Here is a 17,530-nt window from a genome sequence, read left to right as displayed (position 1 = left end):
TTTGGAACCCAAACAAGAAGAATGGCTCCCATGAATTCCACTGGGGTCCTTGATCTACAGCCACTGTACCAAAAACTGTAGGCATTCCTGAACTAACATCATATATTTTGTCCATCTCTTTTCTTAACTATTCCCTCCTCCCACTAGGCAATGTTATAGGAGGATTGGGGCCTACTGAGTTAGAAACAAGCTTAGAGAGCAGGTATTTTGCCCCATTCATTACAAAACTATGGCACTGAGGCCAAGTTGCAAAGGATTTGTCAAGTTCACAGGTGATCGTGGTAAAGGCAAAACTAGATCTAAATCAGGACATGAACGCATCCATTAAGGATTCTGTCAAAATGATTGCTTCCTGTAGCTTTCTGTGTGAAACATCCATTTGCTTATCCTCAGGGAAATCAGACTAACAAAGACTTGGAAAGGAACATAAAATTCTAAAGCTAGGCTTATGGCCTTTATAACCCTTAGATGGGGCAGATAACATGCCACGGAGGCTCAGAGACAGCTCTGAGACTATGCAATAGCTACTGTTTCCCCTCTTGTGGAATGTTCACTTAAAAAAGCTCAAGGGCTCTATAAGTTGCCCAATGAACTCCACAGACATCCTTAATTCATTTTCATTTATTGGAACCCTCTCTCAAATAATTTTCTAAATCTCACGCAATAATGATGTATATTCTTGCTCAATATTAAGAAGCCCTCATGCAAAACTGAAGAAATAAATTGTTCTTACAAAAGAAGGAAAAAGGAATTATATTCTCAGAACATTCTGCTTACCCAGACACACAGATCTGATTCTTGCTCCATTGTTTGTGGCATTCTGGATCCTAGGGCCATTGATGAGGCTGGGTCAGTGGCCACACTGGCTCCTGGGTACCCCTTCCCTGGCCACAAAAGTCCATCCCAGCAGCACTATTTAAACTGGACTTATTTCTCACTTCACAGCTCTGGCCTGGGCTGAGACCTCCCCAACAGAGCTTATTAGCGAGCTTGTCATCTTGCTCTGTGGCTATCTAGGTCTGGAGTCAAGAGCCATTCACAGGAAAATCAGCATGAAACCTTTAAGTTTGCATATTAAATATTAACACCACTAAGGGCTACAGTGGAAAAGAGGTTTGCTGAGCTCAAGGGCCCTCACTCCACCCCCAACTTCCCTTGGCTTTTCTCTTCTATGTTGTGTTCCTGGTAAATCCCATTATGTCTCGACTACCTTAGGCCCTCTCAGCCCCTTCTTGGGAATTAGGCTCTCTGGATAGGCAAAGAGGCAGATACCCAGCTGCCAGGTGAATCAGATGTCCTCATCAGATCTCTTAATTTCCACTTTGGTGATATTTCAAAGGATCACAAATTATGTTCTTAGTGCCTGGTCAGAGAACTGGGAAAGAGCTGGAAGATGAGACACCAAACTCCATCCCATGGTGATGTTTGAACCAGGCTGGAGCTGGTTTCACATGTTTTTCATTGTGCATGACTTTCTTAATTGCCTTAGTGGGAATGCGTTACTGCAAAATAAAGTGAAATTGTTTTCCTTATTGCTTGTAATTTACAGAGGGGTGGTTTTGATCATATAAACCAGGCACTTTTCAAATCCATTGATCTTAGGGTGGAAGGAGGGATTTCTTTTTAAGTATTCATTTCGAACTATGCTTTCACTAGTAAACTCAAAGCCCAAGGGCAAAAACCCATGATTCTCCATTTTGTAATAGCTATTAGATGTCCACAGCACATCAGACCTGTGGAAAACGCATGCTTTGTGTATGGAAGAGGGAGAGGGAGCGTCAGGAGTTGTCCTTTGCCAAAAAACGTACTCTGACACTCAAAGGCACAGGCTGGTGGAGATCCAGGGAACCCGGGAAAGCCCAGGCCTAACTCAGGCCCGCGCGGGTCTCTTCTGATCCCATAAGATGAGGAGTGGGTCCTGGCTCTGGGCATCCTGGTGTCGACTGTGAGTTCCCAGCAGAGGCCCAGAGTCCCGGTCCGGCAGCCGAGGGAAGCGGGGGGGTCTTCCAGAAGAAGAAAGGGCCAAGGTCACCCCGGTGCCTCTCCAGCAGCAGCAGAGGGCGGCGGTCGGTGTCGCTGCTGGCCGGGGCCTCGAGGAAGGCGCGGGCCAGCTGGGGCCGGGTCTGCGTTCCCAGGAGCTGCCACCGTTCCAGGGAGCAAGTCAGGCCGGGACGTAGCGCCTGCGCGGGACCCTCACTTGCCACCAAGACCCCCACAAACCCCGCCCCATCCTGCCTTACGCCCCGCCCCAAGGTCGTTCTCCCGACCCGGGGTCCCGCCCCAAGGCCGTCCTCCCGCCCCGCCGCTTGGTGGCGGCCGCATGCTGCCCGGATATAAAGGGTCGGCCCCACATCCCAGGGACCAGCGAGCGGCCTTGAGAGGCTCTGGCTCTTGCTTCTTAGGCGGCCCGAGGACGCCATGGCCGAGTGCCCGACACTCGGGGAGGCAGTCACCGACCACCCGGACCGCCTGTGGGCCTGGGAGAAGTTCGTGTATTTGGACGAGAAGCAGCACGCCTGGCTGCCCTTAACCATCGAGGTACAGCCAGCTTTGGAGCGGATGGCGAGGCAGCAGGGGCAGCCCCTGGGAGCTTGGGATGCCCTAGGAAGGGCGAGGACTCAAGGAGCACTCACTATGGGGCAGGGAGGATCCCCACAGATGAAGCCACTTTGAGCCGGGCTCTGGAGGATGAATAGGAGTTCTCCAGGCAGGGAAGAAGGGTGGGAAAACCGCAAAGGAATGTCGGTCAAAGGGGTGGACCCAGTGCCTGTGGAGTGTGACTATAATGTTGACTACAGCAGGCATTTTCTGGGCTTCGGGGTCCTAATCCTTAAAAATGGGTATCTCTAAGTGACTCATCCATATGGCCGATTATCGGAATCATCTCAGGTGGGTCCCAGAAATCTGTATTTTTAAAAAGAACCCTCAACAGTTTAGGGTCAACCAGGCATAGCAAACACTGGCCTAGAGTGTGAAGTATTTTCCACTACCTCTGGGCTTTATTTAGAAAACAAATTTAACAAGTGATGTCGTAGTATAAGCGCCGGTATTGAATCAATATTGACTTTTTTAATGTGTGATGCCTTAAGATGGGTCCTTAATCCATGTTAAGTTTTTGTTAAAGAAATAGATAAGTCTTTTACAAGTATTTGGATTTACTCAATGAAAAAGAGTCAAAAAATGTTCAAACTCTCTCCAAACATACACTGAAGAAAGCATAAAAATTAAAAAATATATTAGAACACGTATGTCCAGTAGCAATCAAAAATTATTGAGTGTTGACTGTGTCTCTACAGATGGGAAACTGAGGCACAAAAATGTACATTTGTCCGAGGTAAGATTGCTAGTAGGTAATGGGGTTGGAATTCTAGGCTCTTAACCACCACAAAATCTGCATTTTTATTGGCATTTCAATTTTTTAAATATGTTTTTACTTTAAAAATCAAGTTAAATACTTACTTTTTTAAAATCAAAATTTGAAGAAATAATTTGAAGATTCAGTGGATTTCTTTTTTTAAATCTCTGAGAAATCTCTTCTTCAACGTGACACCAAAACCACGAACCAGACAGTTTTTCATAAAATCATGATACATGCTCCACAAAAAATAACCCACTAGCAAACTGTGGGACAGATTTTGCCTCACATCATTGAAAAGGCCAGTATTCTTTTTCTCTCTTTCTTTCTTTGTTGTTTTTTTTTTTTCCTGTAGATACAGGGTCTCGCTCTGTGACCCAGGCTGGTCTTAAACTCCTGGCCTCAAGCGATCCTCCTGCCTCTGCCTTCCAAAGCACTGGAATTACAAGTGTGAGCCGCTGCAACCCGCCAGAAAAAAGTGTGCCTTTCATGGCCCTGTCTGGGTGGCTAGACACGTGTGTGTGCTGGTGGTCCTGGCCCAGCCAGAGTCCCTGAGAGGAGCATGCATGGCCTAAGGAAGTGAGCTTCAGGGAACAGTGATGACCATCATTTCACACTCGGACCCCTGCCCAGATGGGTGGATGGCTGGCAGGAGGGATTCCGGTTTTCTGCGCCTGGAGAAGCCCTGGCAAGCGGAACCTGAAAGTATGCCCTGTCCTTTTCTTCTCCTCAGATAAAGGATAGGTTACAGTTACGGGTGCTCTTGCGTCGGGAAGACGTCGTCCTGGGGAGGCCTATGACCCCCACCCAGATAGGCCCAAGCCTGCTGCCTATCATGTGGCAGCTCTACCCTGATGGACGATACCGATCCTCAGACTCCAGTTTCTGGCGCTTAGTGTACCACATCAAGGTGAGTGTCTTTCTCCCAGAGGTCCATCGGGTGATCTTGGGTTTGCCCTCCTCCATGTCTGGCCTTAGTGGTTTATCTTCCCTCCATCCCAGTCCCAAAAGCATTAAAAAATGGGGGAAATGTACAAGTGCAGATTTCTAAAGGACTTTACCAGAGAGAAGATAGATCCTCTGAGGTCTCTAACAGAACCCTACCTCCACTTCCTCCCAGCCACCAGCTAGCCGCAGGAAGACATCTCTGGTGGGCAGTCACAGGCTGAAGGCTGGTGGGAGGAGGGGCAGTCTCCAAGAGCCCCTGAAATCCTCACACCTGGGTTCCTACCTGCTGTTTCCAGCTAGGGGAAGGCGCAGGAGTGAGGAATGGAGGGAGTGGAGGGCTCTGGCCGATCAATGCCTTCTCTCTCTCTCTGCCTCTCAGATTGACGGCGTGGAGGACATGCTTCTCGAGCTGCTGCCAGATGACTGATGTATGGTGAGCTCCACTGGAGCCTGACCCCTCTTAGTCCACAGTGGCTGTATCAGAAAGAAAGACCACCCCTTCTCCATGAAGGCAGTGCTAACCCCTCCCCGACTGCTGCCATCTGAGGGTCCCTAGGGATGGGAGAGGCTTCCTGGAGGCACTCATGTCTCCCTTACCACTTCGGGAGCCAAGGGCTTTGTAGGCAGCCCCCTTTATCGCAGCTGCTCATATCTATAAAGTACTTCACAAGTTTCAGCTGGCACTTTCATTTACCATTGCTTTTTTTTTTTTTTGAGATGAGTCTGGCTCTGTGGCCCAGGCTAGAGTGTAGTGGTGCAATCTCAGCTCACTGCAAGCTCTGCCTCCCGGGTTCACACCATTCTCCTGCCTCAGCCCTCGGAGTAGCTGGGACTACAGGCGCCCGCCACCACACCTGGCTAATTTTTTTTTTTTTTTTTTTTTTTTAGTAGAGACGGGGTTTCACCGTGTTAGCCAGGATGGTCTCGATCTCCTGACCTCATGATCTGCCCGCCTCGGCCTCCCAAAGTGCTGGGATTACAGGCATGAGCCACCACGTCCGGCCTTACCATTGCTTTATTAAATAAGCACTGGTGCTTGATTATATCAGCTGAGCCAGATATTAGATACGCTATTGAGTTTTGAGGAAATAAGAGTACAAAACTCAGAAATGAGTTGAAGTATAGTGACATCTTCAGATTACAGACCCAGGTGTCAGAATTTGCCTTGGCTCAGAAGGCCTCTGGGGGCCATCCCTGACCACTAGGCTTCCCACTTAGACCTGCTCCAGCAGCACCACCCCTCGCCACTGCCTGGTCCTTTCCTTCACCCTTGATTCTGTCTTCTTTTGTCCTTCTCCAGGTCTTGGCAGCACCTGTCTCCTTTCACCCCAGGGCCTGAGCCTGGCCAGCCTACAATGGGGATGTTGTGTTTCTGTTCACCTTCGTTTACTATGCCTGTGTCTTCTCCACCACGCTGGGGTCTGGGAGGAATGGACAGACAGAGGATGAGCTCTACCCAGGGCCTGCAGGACCTGCCTGTAGCCCACTCTGCTCGCCTTAGCACTACCACTCCTGCCAAGGAGGATTCCATTTGGCAGAGCTTCTTCCAGGTGCCCAGCTATACCTGTGCCTCGGCTTTTCTCAGCTGGATGATGGTCTTCAGCCTCTTTCTGTCCCTTCTGTCCCTCACAGCACTAGTATTTCATGTTGCACACCCACTCAGCTCCGTGAACTTGTGAGAACACAGCCGATTCACCTGAGCAGGACCTCTGAAACCCTGGACCAGTGGTCTCACATGGTGCTACGCCTGCATGTAAACACGCCTGCAAACGCTGCCTGCCGGTAAACACGCCTGCAAACGCTGCCTGCCCGTAAACACGCCTGCAAACGCTGCCTGCCCACACAGGTTCACGTGCAGCTCAAGGAAAGGCCTGAAAGGAGCCCTTATCTGTGCTCAGGACTCAGAAGCCTCTGGGTCAGTGGTCCACATCCCGGGACGCAGCAGGAGGCCAGGCCGGCGAGCCCTGTGGATGAGCCCTCAGAACCCTTGGCTTGCCCACGTGGAAAAGGGATAGAGGTTGGGTTTCCCCCCTTTTATAGATGGTCACGCACCTGGGTGTTACAAAGTTGTATGTGGCATGAATACTTTTTGTAATGATTGATTAAATGCAAGATAGTTTATCTAACTTCGTGCGGAATCAGCTTCTATCCTTGACTTAGATTCTGGTGGAGAGAAGTGAGAATAGGCAGCCCCCAAATAAAAAATATTCATGGATTTATTTATTTTCCTTTGGAGATAAGGGACTACAATTTTTTCCCCGTGTAATCCAATGCTTAAAACCCCAGTGTTCTTGGAGGCATACGTTGAGAACCATTGGAGTAAGCAACCTCAAAAATGTTGTTGGCAATGCCCGGTATTCCAGAGCCCCCCCTGCCTCCATCTGGTCCTGCCCTCCTTACCCTCCTCATTCCCATGTGCCCTCGGCCCCAGCCAGCTCTGCCTCCTCCTTACCTGGGCATTCACCAGGCTCTGTCCTTGCACAGATAACTTCTATCCTCTCTGCTCACAATCCCAGCAGAAGCCCCTCCTGCCTGAAGCTGTCCCTGACCACTCAGGCCCCAAGCAGACTCCCTTCCCCACCTCCCATGACCTGCAGTCACAGCAGATCCCACCCTGTGCCCTGTCCTCTTGCTCCCTTCTCAAGACCCTGCTGCCCCTCCTGTACCTCTATAGACAGTAGCTGGACCTCAGATATTACCAGGGGATGCCTTCCAGAGAAGGGAATCCATCCTGTGTCGAATCCTGGCCTTCCCACTTCCCTGTGTCTCTAGTCCACAGCTTTCTTGTCACAGAGATGAACTTAGAGGGTTGTTCTGAGGATTCAGCGGGATATATAACTGAAGGGCTTTAAGAGAATTGTATAAGAAAAACACTACTTCTCCCGCTTTACAGTCTCTGAACCCAGGTTTCTTAACCAGCACTAGACAGAGAAGAAGCACTGACGTCCGACGTGCCAGGGTTTGTATCTTCTGTTGTAACCCGGTCACCCTGCACAGACCATGGCAGCAGGGGAGTTTGGTCTGTGGGAGCAATTACTGTACAGGTGCCTCTCAGCAGGGCTGGATCGTGGAAAGTCAGAGCAGGGGGACCATGGGAGATCAGGCAGCTGCCTCATTTTACGAATAGGAACGCGGGGACCCAGAAAGAGGAAAGCTTTTGTGCGAGATTCTTTTGTTGACCAAATATTTGACCATCACCATGAACGGTGCCAGGAACTGGGACTCAGCAGGGACAAGGTGAAGGCCCCATTCTCATGCAGCCTTAGTTCTGGAAAAAGATAAAAAGAAGGTGCAAAATCCCAGAAGAAAATAGAATAGGGTAATGGTAGGGAGTTCGATTGGCTGGCAAGGAAATTCCTGTCTGTGGATATGGCATTTAAGATTGGGCCTTGAAAAAGAGGGAGCTAGATTCTTAGGAAGAGGGGATGGCAAGTGCTGTGCAGATTTAATTTGCTGTGGAAATTAAAAACATAGCAAAAGGATTACTTCTTACAAAAAGAAATGCTGTTTTGTAAGAATAAATAGCCCTAATAAATTAACTAAATGCAATGCAGAATCTCAGTTTTCCACAAGACTGACTCTAGGGTTTTGGCTGGAAACACAAAGTTGTTTTGCCAATGTATTCTAAATACCTCATATTTTTCCCTCCATATATATATATATATATATATATATATATTTTTTTTTTTTTTTTTTTTTTTTTTTTTGAGGTGGAGTTTCACTGTTGTTGCCCAGGCTGGAGTGCAATGGCGGTCTTAGCTCACTGCAACCTCCACCTCCCAGGTTCAAGCGATTCTCTTGCCTCCGCCTCCCAAGTAGCTGGGACTACAGGCATCCACTACCATGCCCGGCTAATTTTTTGTATTTTTAGTAGAGACAGGGTTTCACCATGTTGGTCAGGCTGGTCTTGAACTCCTGACCTCAGGTGATCTGCCCGCCTTGGCCTCACAAAGTGCTGGGATTACAGGCGTGAGCCACCGTGCCCAGCCTCCCTCTACATATTTTATTACATATATATTTATATTTTCTTTAATTTCTTTCAATAACATGTTGCAGTTTTCCGAGTATAGGTTTTGCATTTCTTTTGTTAAATTGATTCCTAAGTTTACTCTTTTTTTATTATGATAAAAAAAATCTAATTAGCCTGGCGTGGTGGTATATACCTGTAGTGTCAGCTACTTGTGGGGCTGAGGCAGGAGGATCGCTTGAGCCTGGGAAGTCAAGGATGCAGTGAGCCGTGTTCCTGCCACTGCACTCCAGCCTGGGTGACAAAGCAAGACCCTTTCTGAACAAAAAAAAGCAAACAAAAAAACTAACATGAAATCTGCCCTCATAACAGACTTTTAAGTGTGCAGTACAGTATTATTAATTATATGAACATTGTTGTACAGTAGATCTCTAGAACTTTTTCATCCTGCATCACTAAAACCCTGTGCCCTTTAAAGAGCAACTCTTCATCGCCTCCTCTTTCCCAGCTCCTGGAAACTGCTACCCTTCTTTCCACTTCTATGACTTTTACAACTTTAGCTTCCTCATCTAAGTAGGAATCATGCAGTATTTGTCCTTCTGTGACTGATTTATTTCACCTAGCGTGATGTCCTCCAGGCTCAACCATATGGCAGGACTTCCTTCTTTTCTAAGGCTGCATGAAGTTTCATTGTATGTATGCACCACCATTTCCTCATTCATTCATCCACCGGTGGATAGAAGGTGGTTTCCACCTCTTCGCTATTATGGATGGTGCTGCCATGAATATGGGCACGCAAATATCAGTTCAAGATTCTGTTTCCTAATTCTTTTAGGTGAATACCTGCCAGTTGGATTGCTGAGCCATATGGTAGTTCTGTTTTTAATTTTTTGAAGAGCATCCATACTGTTTTCCATAACAGTTACAACATTTTACATTCCTACCAACTGTGCACAAGGGTTTGCCACAGCCTCACCAGCATTTGTTGTTTTCTGGTTTTTTGATAATGGCCATCCTCACAAGTATGATGTGATATTTATTTTACTTATTCTGTTCCAATCTGGATGATTTTTCTTTTGTCTTCTTGCCTAATTACCCTGGCTAGAACCTCTAGAACTGTGTTGAATAGAAATAGTGAGAGTGGGCCGGGCACGGTGGCTCATGCCTGTAATCCCAGCACTTTGGGAGGCTGAGATGGGTGGATCATCTGAGGTCAGGAGTTTGAGACCAGCCTGGCCAACTTGGTGAAACCCCCATCTCTACTAAAAACACAAAAATTAGCTGGGCGTGGTGGCGGGTGCCTATAATCCCAGCTACTTGGGAGGCTGAGGCCGGAGAATCGCTTGAACCCGGGAGGCGGAGGTTGCAGTGAGCCAAGATTGTACCACTGCACTCCAGCCTGGGCAACAGAGCAAGGCTCCATCTCAAAAAAAAAGAAAGAAAGAAAGAGTGAGAGTGGACATCCTTGCCTTGGTCCTGATCTTAGAAATCTTCATCTTTCACCATTAAGTCTGATATTAGGTATGGCTTTTTCATAAATGTCCTTTATCAGATTGAGGAAGTTCCCTTCTAGTCTCAGTTTATTGAGTGTGTTTTTTTCATGCAGGGATGTTAGATTTTTTCAAATGTTTTTTCTGCATCTGTTGAGATGATCATCTATTGGAATGTTGGTTTTTGTCCTTTATTGTATTGATATGGTGTAATACACTCATTTTTTTTTTGGTATGTTGAACCATTTTGCATTTCTGGGATGAATTTTACTGGGTCCTAGTGTATAATCTTTTTTATATGCTGTTGGATTTGGTTTGCTAGTATTTTGTTAAGGGTTTTTATATCTGTATTCATAAGAAGTATTGGTCTGTAGTTTTCTCTTGTGATGTCTTTGTCTGATTTTGGTATCATATATAACTTTTTAATACTAGAAATTTTATTTTATTTTTTAATTTAAAAATATCATTATTAGAAATAGGGTTTCACCATGTTACTCAGGCTACTTTTGAACTCTTGCACTCAAGTGATCCCCCCACCTCTGCCTGTCAAAGCCTGGGCAAGATGTTGAGAACTCATCTCTAAGGTAGATAGATAGATAGATAGATAGACAGACAGACAGACAGACAGACAGACAGACAGATAGATAGACAGACAGACAGATAGATAGATAGATAAAAAGGCCGGGAGCAGTGGCTCATGCTTGTAATCCCAGCACTTTGGGAGGCCGAGGCAGGCGGCTCATTTGAAGTCAGGAGCTTGAGACCAGCCTGGCCAACGTGGTGAAACCCCATCTCTACTAAAATACAAAAATTAGCCAGTCATGGTGGCACACACCTCTAATCCCAGCTACTCAGGAGGCGGAGGTGGGAGAATCGCTTGAGCCCAGGAGGCAAAGTTGCAGTGAGCCAAGAGCACACCACTACACTCCAGCCCGGGCAACAGAGTGAGACCCTGTCTAAATAAATAAATAAATAAATAAATAAAAGATAAATGAAAAATAAGTAAAATTAAATAAAATTAAATTAATAAATAAAAATAATAAAATTAAAATAAATAAACATATTGGGCTGTGTAAATTATGCCTATATATCAAATGCACACGGATGTCCTCAGTTTTCATGATTGTTCCCTGTACATTTGAAAAGGAGGCATTTCTCTCAACTAAGTTCAGAGATATAAATCTCTGCTTTATTATTAATATGGCTTAGGTTTTCTGTGTTCCCCATCATTATTGTTGTTCATTTGTTCTATCTCATCCTGAAAAAAATACACTAATGTCTCCTATTAGTATATTTCCATCTTCTCCTTTAATCTCTGGTAGTTTATGCTTCATAAAGTTGTTGCTGTGTTACCGGCCACATAAATGTTGATTGTTATATCTTGTGTAGCCTTTGGCTCAATGAACTATCCTTTCTTTGAGTGATTTCTGGCTAGATTTCTACCTTGTCAGATATGAAGATCATGAACTGTGTCTATTTGTTTCTACTAATTTGCATTTGTCTGGCATATTTGTGCGTAGCATCTTATTTAAATCTTTCTGAATCTCTTTGTTTTAGGCATGTTCATTCGTATATGTGTGCATGTGTATAAAAAGGTTGGATTTTGATGCATTTTTTTGAATTAGTGAATTAAGCTCATTTCAGTTATTGATGTATCTGATGTACTGGTCTTAGTATTGTTTTATGTTTGTTTTTATATACATATACAATTTTTCTCTATGGGGACTGTTTTCTACATTCTTTTTTAGTATTCTCTTCATGTTGCATTTTCATTTCATACCTTTAGACTAATATCTTAGGGTAGTTTCCTCAGCCCTTCTTTTTTTCTTTCTTTTCTTTTACTTTTTTTTTCTTTGGAGACCGCGTCTCACACTGTCGCCCAGGCTGGAGTGCAGTGGTGCGATCTCAGCTCACTACAACCTCTACTTCCCAGGCTCAAGCGAACCTCCCACCTCTGCCTCCTGAGTAGCTGGGACTACAGATGAGTGCCACCATGCCTGGCTAATTTTTTAAATTTTTTGTAGAGATGAGGTCTCACTATATTGTCCAGACTGGTCTTGAACTCCTGGGCTCAAGCAATCCTCCCACTTCAGCCTCTCAAAGTGCCAGAGTTACAGGCATGAACAACTGTACCTGACCAGCCTTTCCTTTAAAAATACTATCTACTGTAGCACTGTCCAAAGAACTTTCTATAATACTGGACATGTTCTGAATCTGTGTCGCCCAATGTGGTAGCCACTAGCTTCTGTGACTATGGAGCACTTGAAATATGGCTAGTATAATTGAGAAACTTAATTTAAAATTTTATTCAATATTAATTAAATTTAAACAGCCACATGTGACTGGTGGCCAACCTGTTGGGTGGTGCACGTCTTTTGATTCCCTACTGTGAGCAGAATTGAAACCACTAACATTTCCTTCCCCCACCCCTCTCTCTCTCCAAAGCATCTAAAGTAATATTCTTTAAGTGCTAAGTGATACCTCCAAGGCAGCCATCAAGCTTGCTTTTGGTATATTCTCTCCCTTTTATCCCATTTTTGATAACTGAAATATACCTTTATTATCAGAGAATGTAACAAACACATAGGATTTCTCACACTCGTGCCCTTTATTTAGTCTTAGTTCTTCAGTTAAACATATTCATTTCTCACCACTAGTCCTAATGAAAAGCTTCCTAAACATTTCTTGATTGTGTGAAGCTCATAGCTTAGTGGATTACTCAGGGAGTGCTCACAGGAACATCATTTCCTGATTCCTTCCTTCCTCTTCATTGAGGTTTGTCTATGGTCTTTCTACTTGAAGGTCATTTGGCTGAATTTAAAAATCCCGAAGTGGGGAGGGTGTTACATTTCTTTTCTTGGGTATTTGTACTACGTTACTCCATTTACTCCACTGTGTTTTTAACTTAAAAGTCTTCTGTGAAGATCTAATCCCATGTAAGTTACTTGGTCATTTTATCTTATGCCAAACAGATTTCTGTTCTATAACGTACAATAATTTTAAGGCTATGTCTTGGAGTCGACTGTTTTTGTTTATATGTTCTAGGCACATCATGTTCCCTTCAGGTACACAGGTTCAAGTCATCTTTTTTGTCTTCAGCAATGTTTTCTTTAGTAGTTTCTACCCACTGCCTTACTTTCCTCTTTGAGGGGGTCTGGGGGTAAGACTTCTGTTATGGATATGTTGCATCTTCGTTGCCTGTTATATCCATCACTTTCTCTTCAATTCTCTCCATCTTTTTATTCTGATTTTTTTTTCCTACTTTTCTATACTCAGTTTTTCTTTTGCTCTCCTGGTTGCTCTTCTGGACTTTGTGAGGAGAATTGGGAAACTGAAAAACAATGCCACTGTCAGCATCTTGCCCTGAATCTTATTGTGTTTTAAAGTTACTTTGTTACTGTCACTGTATTTTGCTTACAAAACAACTTTATTCACAGTGAGGAAATGCCTGCGGAAATACACCAGTTCTCAAAGATTCTAACCTTTTTGTATATCAAGTGAGTTAACTTGAGCTAGTTCAATGAATTTATTGTCAGTGAACCTCCTACAGCAAATACAACTTACAAATTTAAGTGAGAAATTTTGCAAGAAAATTCTCTCACAAATACTTAACTATAATGATCATTTATAGTTTGAGGCGAAAATTCTATAGCTCTTGAAACTACTAAACACATTTTAATAATATGGGAGAGCTCTTTGTACTACTCAATACTAAAACTTATAAATTCAATGTTGGTACCTGGTGCAGTAGTACGGGACTTACTTACACAGCAGGTTCACTGGTTAAGATGCCAATTACTTGGGCCCCTGGACTTAGAAGGCCCCCAAAGGCTGAACATGGCCAGGGCTGTTCTGACCTGGTGGTGCCTCTCCTCAACACTGGCCCTATCAGCTCACTAAGCAAGGACAGCAAGAACCATAGCCACTTTATCATCTTACTGGCTGGACTGTAGTGAGTTAAGTAACACAGTGTCTCATTTCTACTCATCCCCACAACTTGGAGGTCATGTGTAACCACAGTAAAGCTTCATTTTAAGAGAGACTCACACATATTTAGCCTATCTTGTATAAGAATAATAGACTGACCATAGTTTTATAATCCCATCTGGTTCATTGTGAAATGCCCTGTGCTCCCTATATCTATATGTCGGATGGGGCACTCCATCTTTTTCGACTTAATTTAGCTTGACTCTCCCTCCCACATCACCTTTCACAATCTCTCCAAGGATTTCAATGGGGTCTTACGTTTCTCCCCATCACCCCTTACTTTGAGCTCTAACATCCACTGATTCCGTTTGGTTTATGGCTGATCCTATTCTTGTTCCACGCACATCACCCTACCCTACAGTGAACACTACTCTGATTCTTTCTCCACAGGGCTGCCGATGTCAGCCTTTGGGGATACATTGGGGGTTAAGTTTGGGGGTTAAGTTTGGGGGTTTAGGGAGGGGTGGGGGTTAACATTCAGACTACAGCTTAAAGTGGGATATTAGAAACTTTGTTTTGAAAAAGACCCTTAAGCATTGTTACAGCATTACCACCACCCCAGTAAAGCCCCACCACCTGCATCTTTTCTCAAGTCCTCTCTGCCTCACAGACCGCACCCTCCTCCTCCCTTTACAGAGGTAATCCTTGAAACACCAACATTCTTACTTTATTATGCAGAGCAACTTTGTTCTCTAACTTGGGGCTATCTTCTCTGGATTTAACACCATGTCAATGTTGTTCCTGGAACTGGGCCAGGTCGGCTGTGTTTTCGCATAGCCCAATAATGAGAAGCAGATAATCTAGGAAAGAAGGGAATTTATTGCTATAACCGGATACAGGGAGAAGGCTGGAGATAATTCCACCAGACCAACTCAAAGTGTTGCAATTTTCTTAGTGCTTATATAGGTTGGGGTTATGTGCCTACGTGCAGTATAGCGTTCACTTAAGTCTATAGGTAACTAATTTTGTTTCAACTAAAAGGTCAGAGGCCAAAAAGGGAGATGGGTTCGAGAAATTTCTCCCTCTTCTCACTCAACTGGCCCTGCAACACCTGCTACTGTTGCATTTTTTCAGGGCAGCAGGCAAAATGAACCACCATTGGGTTGTGATGGTGTTGGCTTTTGGGTTGTTTTTGTTTTTGTTTTTGAGACGGAGTCTCCCCTGTCGCCCAGGCTGGAGTGCAGTGGCGCGATATCGGCTCACTGCAAGCTCCGCCTCCCGGGTTCACGCCATTCTCCTGCCTCAGCCTCCCGAGTAGCTGGGACTACAGGCGCGCCCACCACCACGCCCGGCTAATTTTTTTGTTATTTTTAGTAGAGATGGGGTTTCACCGTGTTAGCCAGGATGGTCTCGATCTCCTGACCTCGTGATCCGCCCACCTCGGCCTCCCACAGTGCTGGGATTACAGACGTGAGCCACCGCGCCCGGCCTGGATTTTAGTTTTAAAGCAAGTAACAGATGGAAAGTATCTGCCATATAGTGGATTCCATAAATTTCAACATTCCTCCTTTATGATATTGTCCACATTCAGTGAAAAGCATCATTGTGTTCTTAGGAGGAAAAAATTAAAACCTTTCCTAAGATTATTTTACTTTGAAAAAAGATCACAGAAAGCACTGAGAGACAAACTAAATGTCAGCGTCTGTCCTTTCATCTTTATCATATAATTTAAGCGGGAGAGAAGGAATTACTACTGGTCTGCAACTGAAGAGATCAAGAATGTTGCAAGAATAACACAATTTGCTCGATTTTTAAAAAATCAAACAATTGGCTTGAGACGCTCACCTTAAAAAATATGGCATATAATCACAAATAATTAGGTCGATTTTTGCTCCAAGTTACAACTGCCTTTTTTCAACATCTCTACTTTCTTGGGCAACTGTTCAACAGGGTGACAAGCACCCCCACCTACCTTTGCTTCAGGCTCTCTCAGAATGAATGTAGTCAAATGCTAATGTCACAGCAGGAAAAACTAAACCTGAAGTAAAACTGTATCGTTAGCTTTGTAATTACTTATAACAAAGGTCTTTGTATATATAAGGAAAAGAATAAAATGTGTATATTATGCATTTTTTCTCCTGAAATTCTAGAAAACCCTTTCGTAAAGATGGATTTGTACATACCATATTCTGAATTTTATTAATCTGTTTCTTGATATTTTTAAAATGAACATCACTACCTTTGTTACAAGAAGCTCAGGGTAATGTGCCTAGTAGTTGGCAATGCTAGGCTGAAAGTGTGTGATGTCATACAGAGTCACAAAGCTGGGGTTTTATTTACTCCTAACCACCTACGATCTTACCCCAGGAGAAAGCCTTGCCAGCCTCATTTGGCACCTAAGGTCAAGATAATAAATTCTGGATTTTTTTTAGGAGGCCAGGGGTGACAAGTACATACTGTTGTGTAATGGTTACACTAAGCAAAAAACACCAGCCACTCAGAGTCCTTTACTGCAAAGTGTAGATAACATTGTGTGGTATGCCTTGATTGAGGAATTAAAGGTAGTTTAACTGAAGACGTTGAGGAAACTTGGTTCTGGTTTTAGTACACCAGAATTTTTTTTTTCAATTTTAGAAAAGCAAGGAGGTTAGAAAAACTAGAGAGGAATTAGGGGATGCTTTTTTATGGGTTCATTTATAAGAAGAAGAGAACTAGCCATAAATCCTTTGTGAGATTTGTTCTGTCTTAAACTTGAATTATGAGTAATGCTTAAGGGAATTTAATAAAGAAGGAAAGCTAAAAAAAGAGAGAGAGAGAAAGGCAGTTGGTCCAAAAAGTGATTCCAGTGGACCAGCTAGTGTGATGTGTGATTAACACAGATTATCTCCTTTAGGCCTTACGAAGAAGTAAGTACTCTTGTTACCCCCAAGTTCTTGGTGAAGAAACAGGCTCTGAGACTAGAAGTTACTTGCCCCAAGTTAGTTTAAGTGGTGTGGTTCGGATGTTGCCAGAATCTGCCCTGTTTCTCCCTTCTGGTATTTGTTTATTCAGCTCAATCTTTGGCCCTGAGCTAGGTTCAGGGGGGTATGCATTCTAGCACAGAAGGAAGTCCCATGATGGAAAGAAACCGAGCAGAGTGATCAGGAAGGCAGGAAGAGCTTTGTGTGGGCCCTTCAGGCAAGGCCCCTCTGGGAATTCCCCATATTAGGTCTCTTTTTCAGCCACGTATAAGGCAAGGACATCGCACATATGAGAACAGATAGACTGACACAGCCATCTTCGATCCAGGGGAAACCAACTTACCAGAGAAACTTGATAGAATTGCTGAGCAGATCTGGCCTTTTGAGGTTTGCAGGCAGGAATTCAAAGTGGAAATTGTCAGCCTGTTTTTATGAGTATTTTGTCTATCAATATTTTTCTCTCAGGTTTAGAAAATAAGGCAAAGTGGGTTCCACCAAATGTGGCATTTCACCTGGCAAGTGATACACAAGAGTGGGGCAGACAGTCTCCCATGTGTGTGAAGGAGTTTTTGGAACACAGAATCTAAGCTGGTGAGGGATGAATGAAGTGTGGAAACAGCCATGAAGAATCTTTAGACATTCAGGAAAGAAGTCCTTTGTCAGTGTTTCTCTACATACTGATCTGTGTTTTCACCATGGTTAAGTTGTTTTGTACTTTATTTTGTTGTTGTTGTTTCTGCTAGGCAGAAATGTTTTATTTTTTAACACTGTCATATGTATTGCTTTTTTTGTGTGTATTCTGGGTTTAGGTTTTTCTTTTTTTTTTTTTTTTTCCTTTTTTATTTTTGAGATGGAGTCTTGCTCTGTCTCCAGGCTGGGGTGC

General features: G+C 44.2%; 1 protein-coding gene and 2 long non-coding RNA genes across 5 annotated transcripts in view, besides 6 other annotated features; 1 reads left to right on the top strand and 2 right to left on the bottom strand.

The window, feature by feature from the left end:
* Positions 1-1,002, bottom strand: part of LOC107984703 (uncharacterized) — a 41,297-nt gene extending 40,295 nt beyond the window's left edge. The window contains exon 1 of the long non-coding RNA NR_148060.1: positions 778-1,002. This is a non-coding gene — a long non-coding RNA (uncharacterized LOC107984703). The remainder of the gene's footprint in view (positions 1-777) is intronic.
* Positions 2,106-2,345: a silencer, noted in NCBI's record as "silent region_6050". NCBI's record gives its function as "represses an Ori minimal core promoter by ATAC-STARR-seq in GM12878 lymphoblastoid cells {active_cell/tissue: GM12878}" and the evidence as "EXISTENCE:reporter gene assay evidence [ECO:0000049][PMID:35858748]".
* TCL1A (TCL1 family AKT coactivator A) lies at positions 2,360-6,538 on the top strand. Of its 3 annotated transcripts, NR_049726.2 has the most exons (5): positions 2,360-2,538; positions 3,711-3,934; positions 4,089-4,265; positions 4,683-4,736; positions 5,604-6,538. NR_049726.2 is itself a non-coding variant. In NM_001098725.2 (4 exons), the coding sequence occupies exons 1-3, from the start codon at positions 2,419-2,421 to the stop codon at positions 4,728-4,730; spliced, it is 345 nt and encodes a 114-aa protein (NP_001092195.1). In that variant the 5' UTR covers positions 2,360-2,418; the 3' UTR covers position 4,731; positions 5,604-6,538. The 3 variants fall into 3 exon arrangements, 2 of the variants coding, with proteins under 2 accessions (NP_001092195.1, NP_068801.1); NM_001098725.2 differs by lacking the exon at positions 3,711-3,934 and having other exon boundaries at positions 4,683-4,731; NM_021966.3 differs by lacking the exon at positions 3,711-3,934.
* Positions 2,576-2,625: an enhancer, noted in NCBI's record as "active region_8976". NCBI's record gives its function as "activates an Ori minimal core promoter by ATAC-STARR-seq in GM12878 lymphoblastoid cells {active_cell/tissue: GM12878}" and the evidence as "EXISTENCE:reporter gene assay evidence [ECO:0000049][PMID:35858748]".
* Positions 3,740-3,959: an enhancer, noted in NCBI's record as "active region_8975". NCBI's record gives its function as "activates an Ori minimal core promoter by ATAC-STARR-seq in GM12878 lymphoblastoid cells {active_cell/tissue: GM12878}" and the evidence as "EXISTENCE:reporter gene assay evidence [ECO:0000049][PMID:35858748]".
* Positions 4,000-4,159: an enhancer, noted in NCBI's record as "active region_8974". NCBI's record gives its function as "activates an Ori minimal core promoter by ATAC-STARR-seq in GM12878 lymphoblastoid cells {active_cell/tissue: GM12878}" and the evidence as "EXISTENCE:reporter gene assay evidence [ECO:0000049][PMID:35858748]".
* Positions 4,200-4,299: an enhancer, noted in NCBI's record as "active region_8973". NCBI's record gives its function as "activates an Ori minimal core promoter by ATAC-STARR-seq in GM12878 lymphoblastoid cells {active_cell/tissue: GM12878}" and the evidence as "EXISTENCE:reporter gene assay evidence [ECO:0000049][PMID:35858748]".
* Positions 6,539-13,001: 6,463 nt separating the features above from the next.
* On the bottom strand, positions 13,002-16,274 carry LOC124903373 (uncharacterized). Its single transcript, XR_007064320.1, has 3 exons — positions 15,871-16,274; positions 14,414-14,547; positions 13,002-13,091 (listed from the first exon to the last, which is right to left on the bottom strand). It is a non-coding gene; the product is annotated as an uncharacterized LOC124903373 (long non-coding RNA).
* Positions 16,719-16,908: an enhancer, noted in NCBI's record as "active region_8972". NCBI's record gives its function as "activates an Ori minimal core promoter by ATAC-STARR-seq in GM12878 lymphoblastoid cells {active_cell/tissue: GM12878}" and the evidence as "EXISTENCE:reporter gene assay evidence [ECO:0000049][PMID:35858748]".

Source organism: Homo sapiens, chromosome 14 (genome assembly GCF_000001405.40).
Source record: "Homo sapiens chromosome 14, GRCh38.p14 Primary Assembly".
Lineage (NCBI taxonomy): Eukaryota > Metazoa > Chordata > Mammalia > Primates > Hominidae > Homo > Homo sapiens.
Note: the sequence above shows the minus strand (reverse complement) of the source record. Positions and strands in the feature narration are given on the sequence as shown.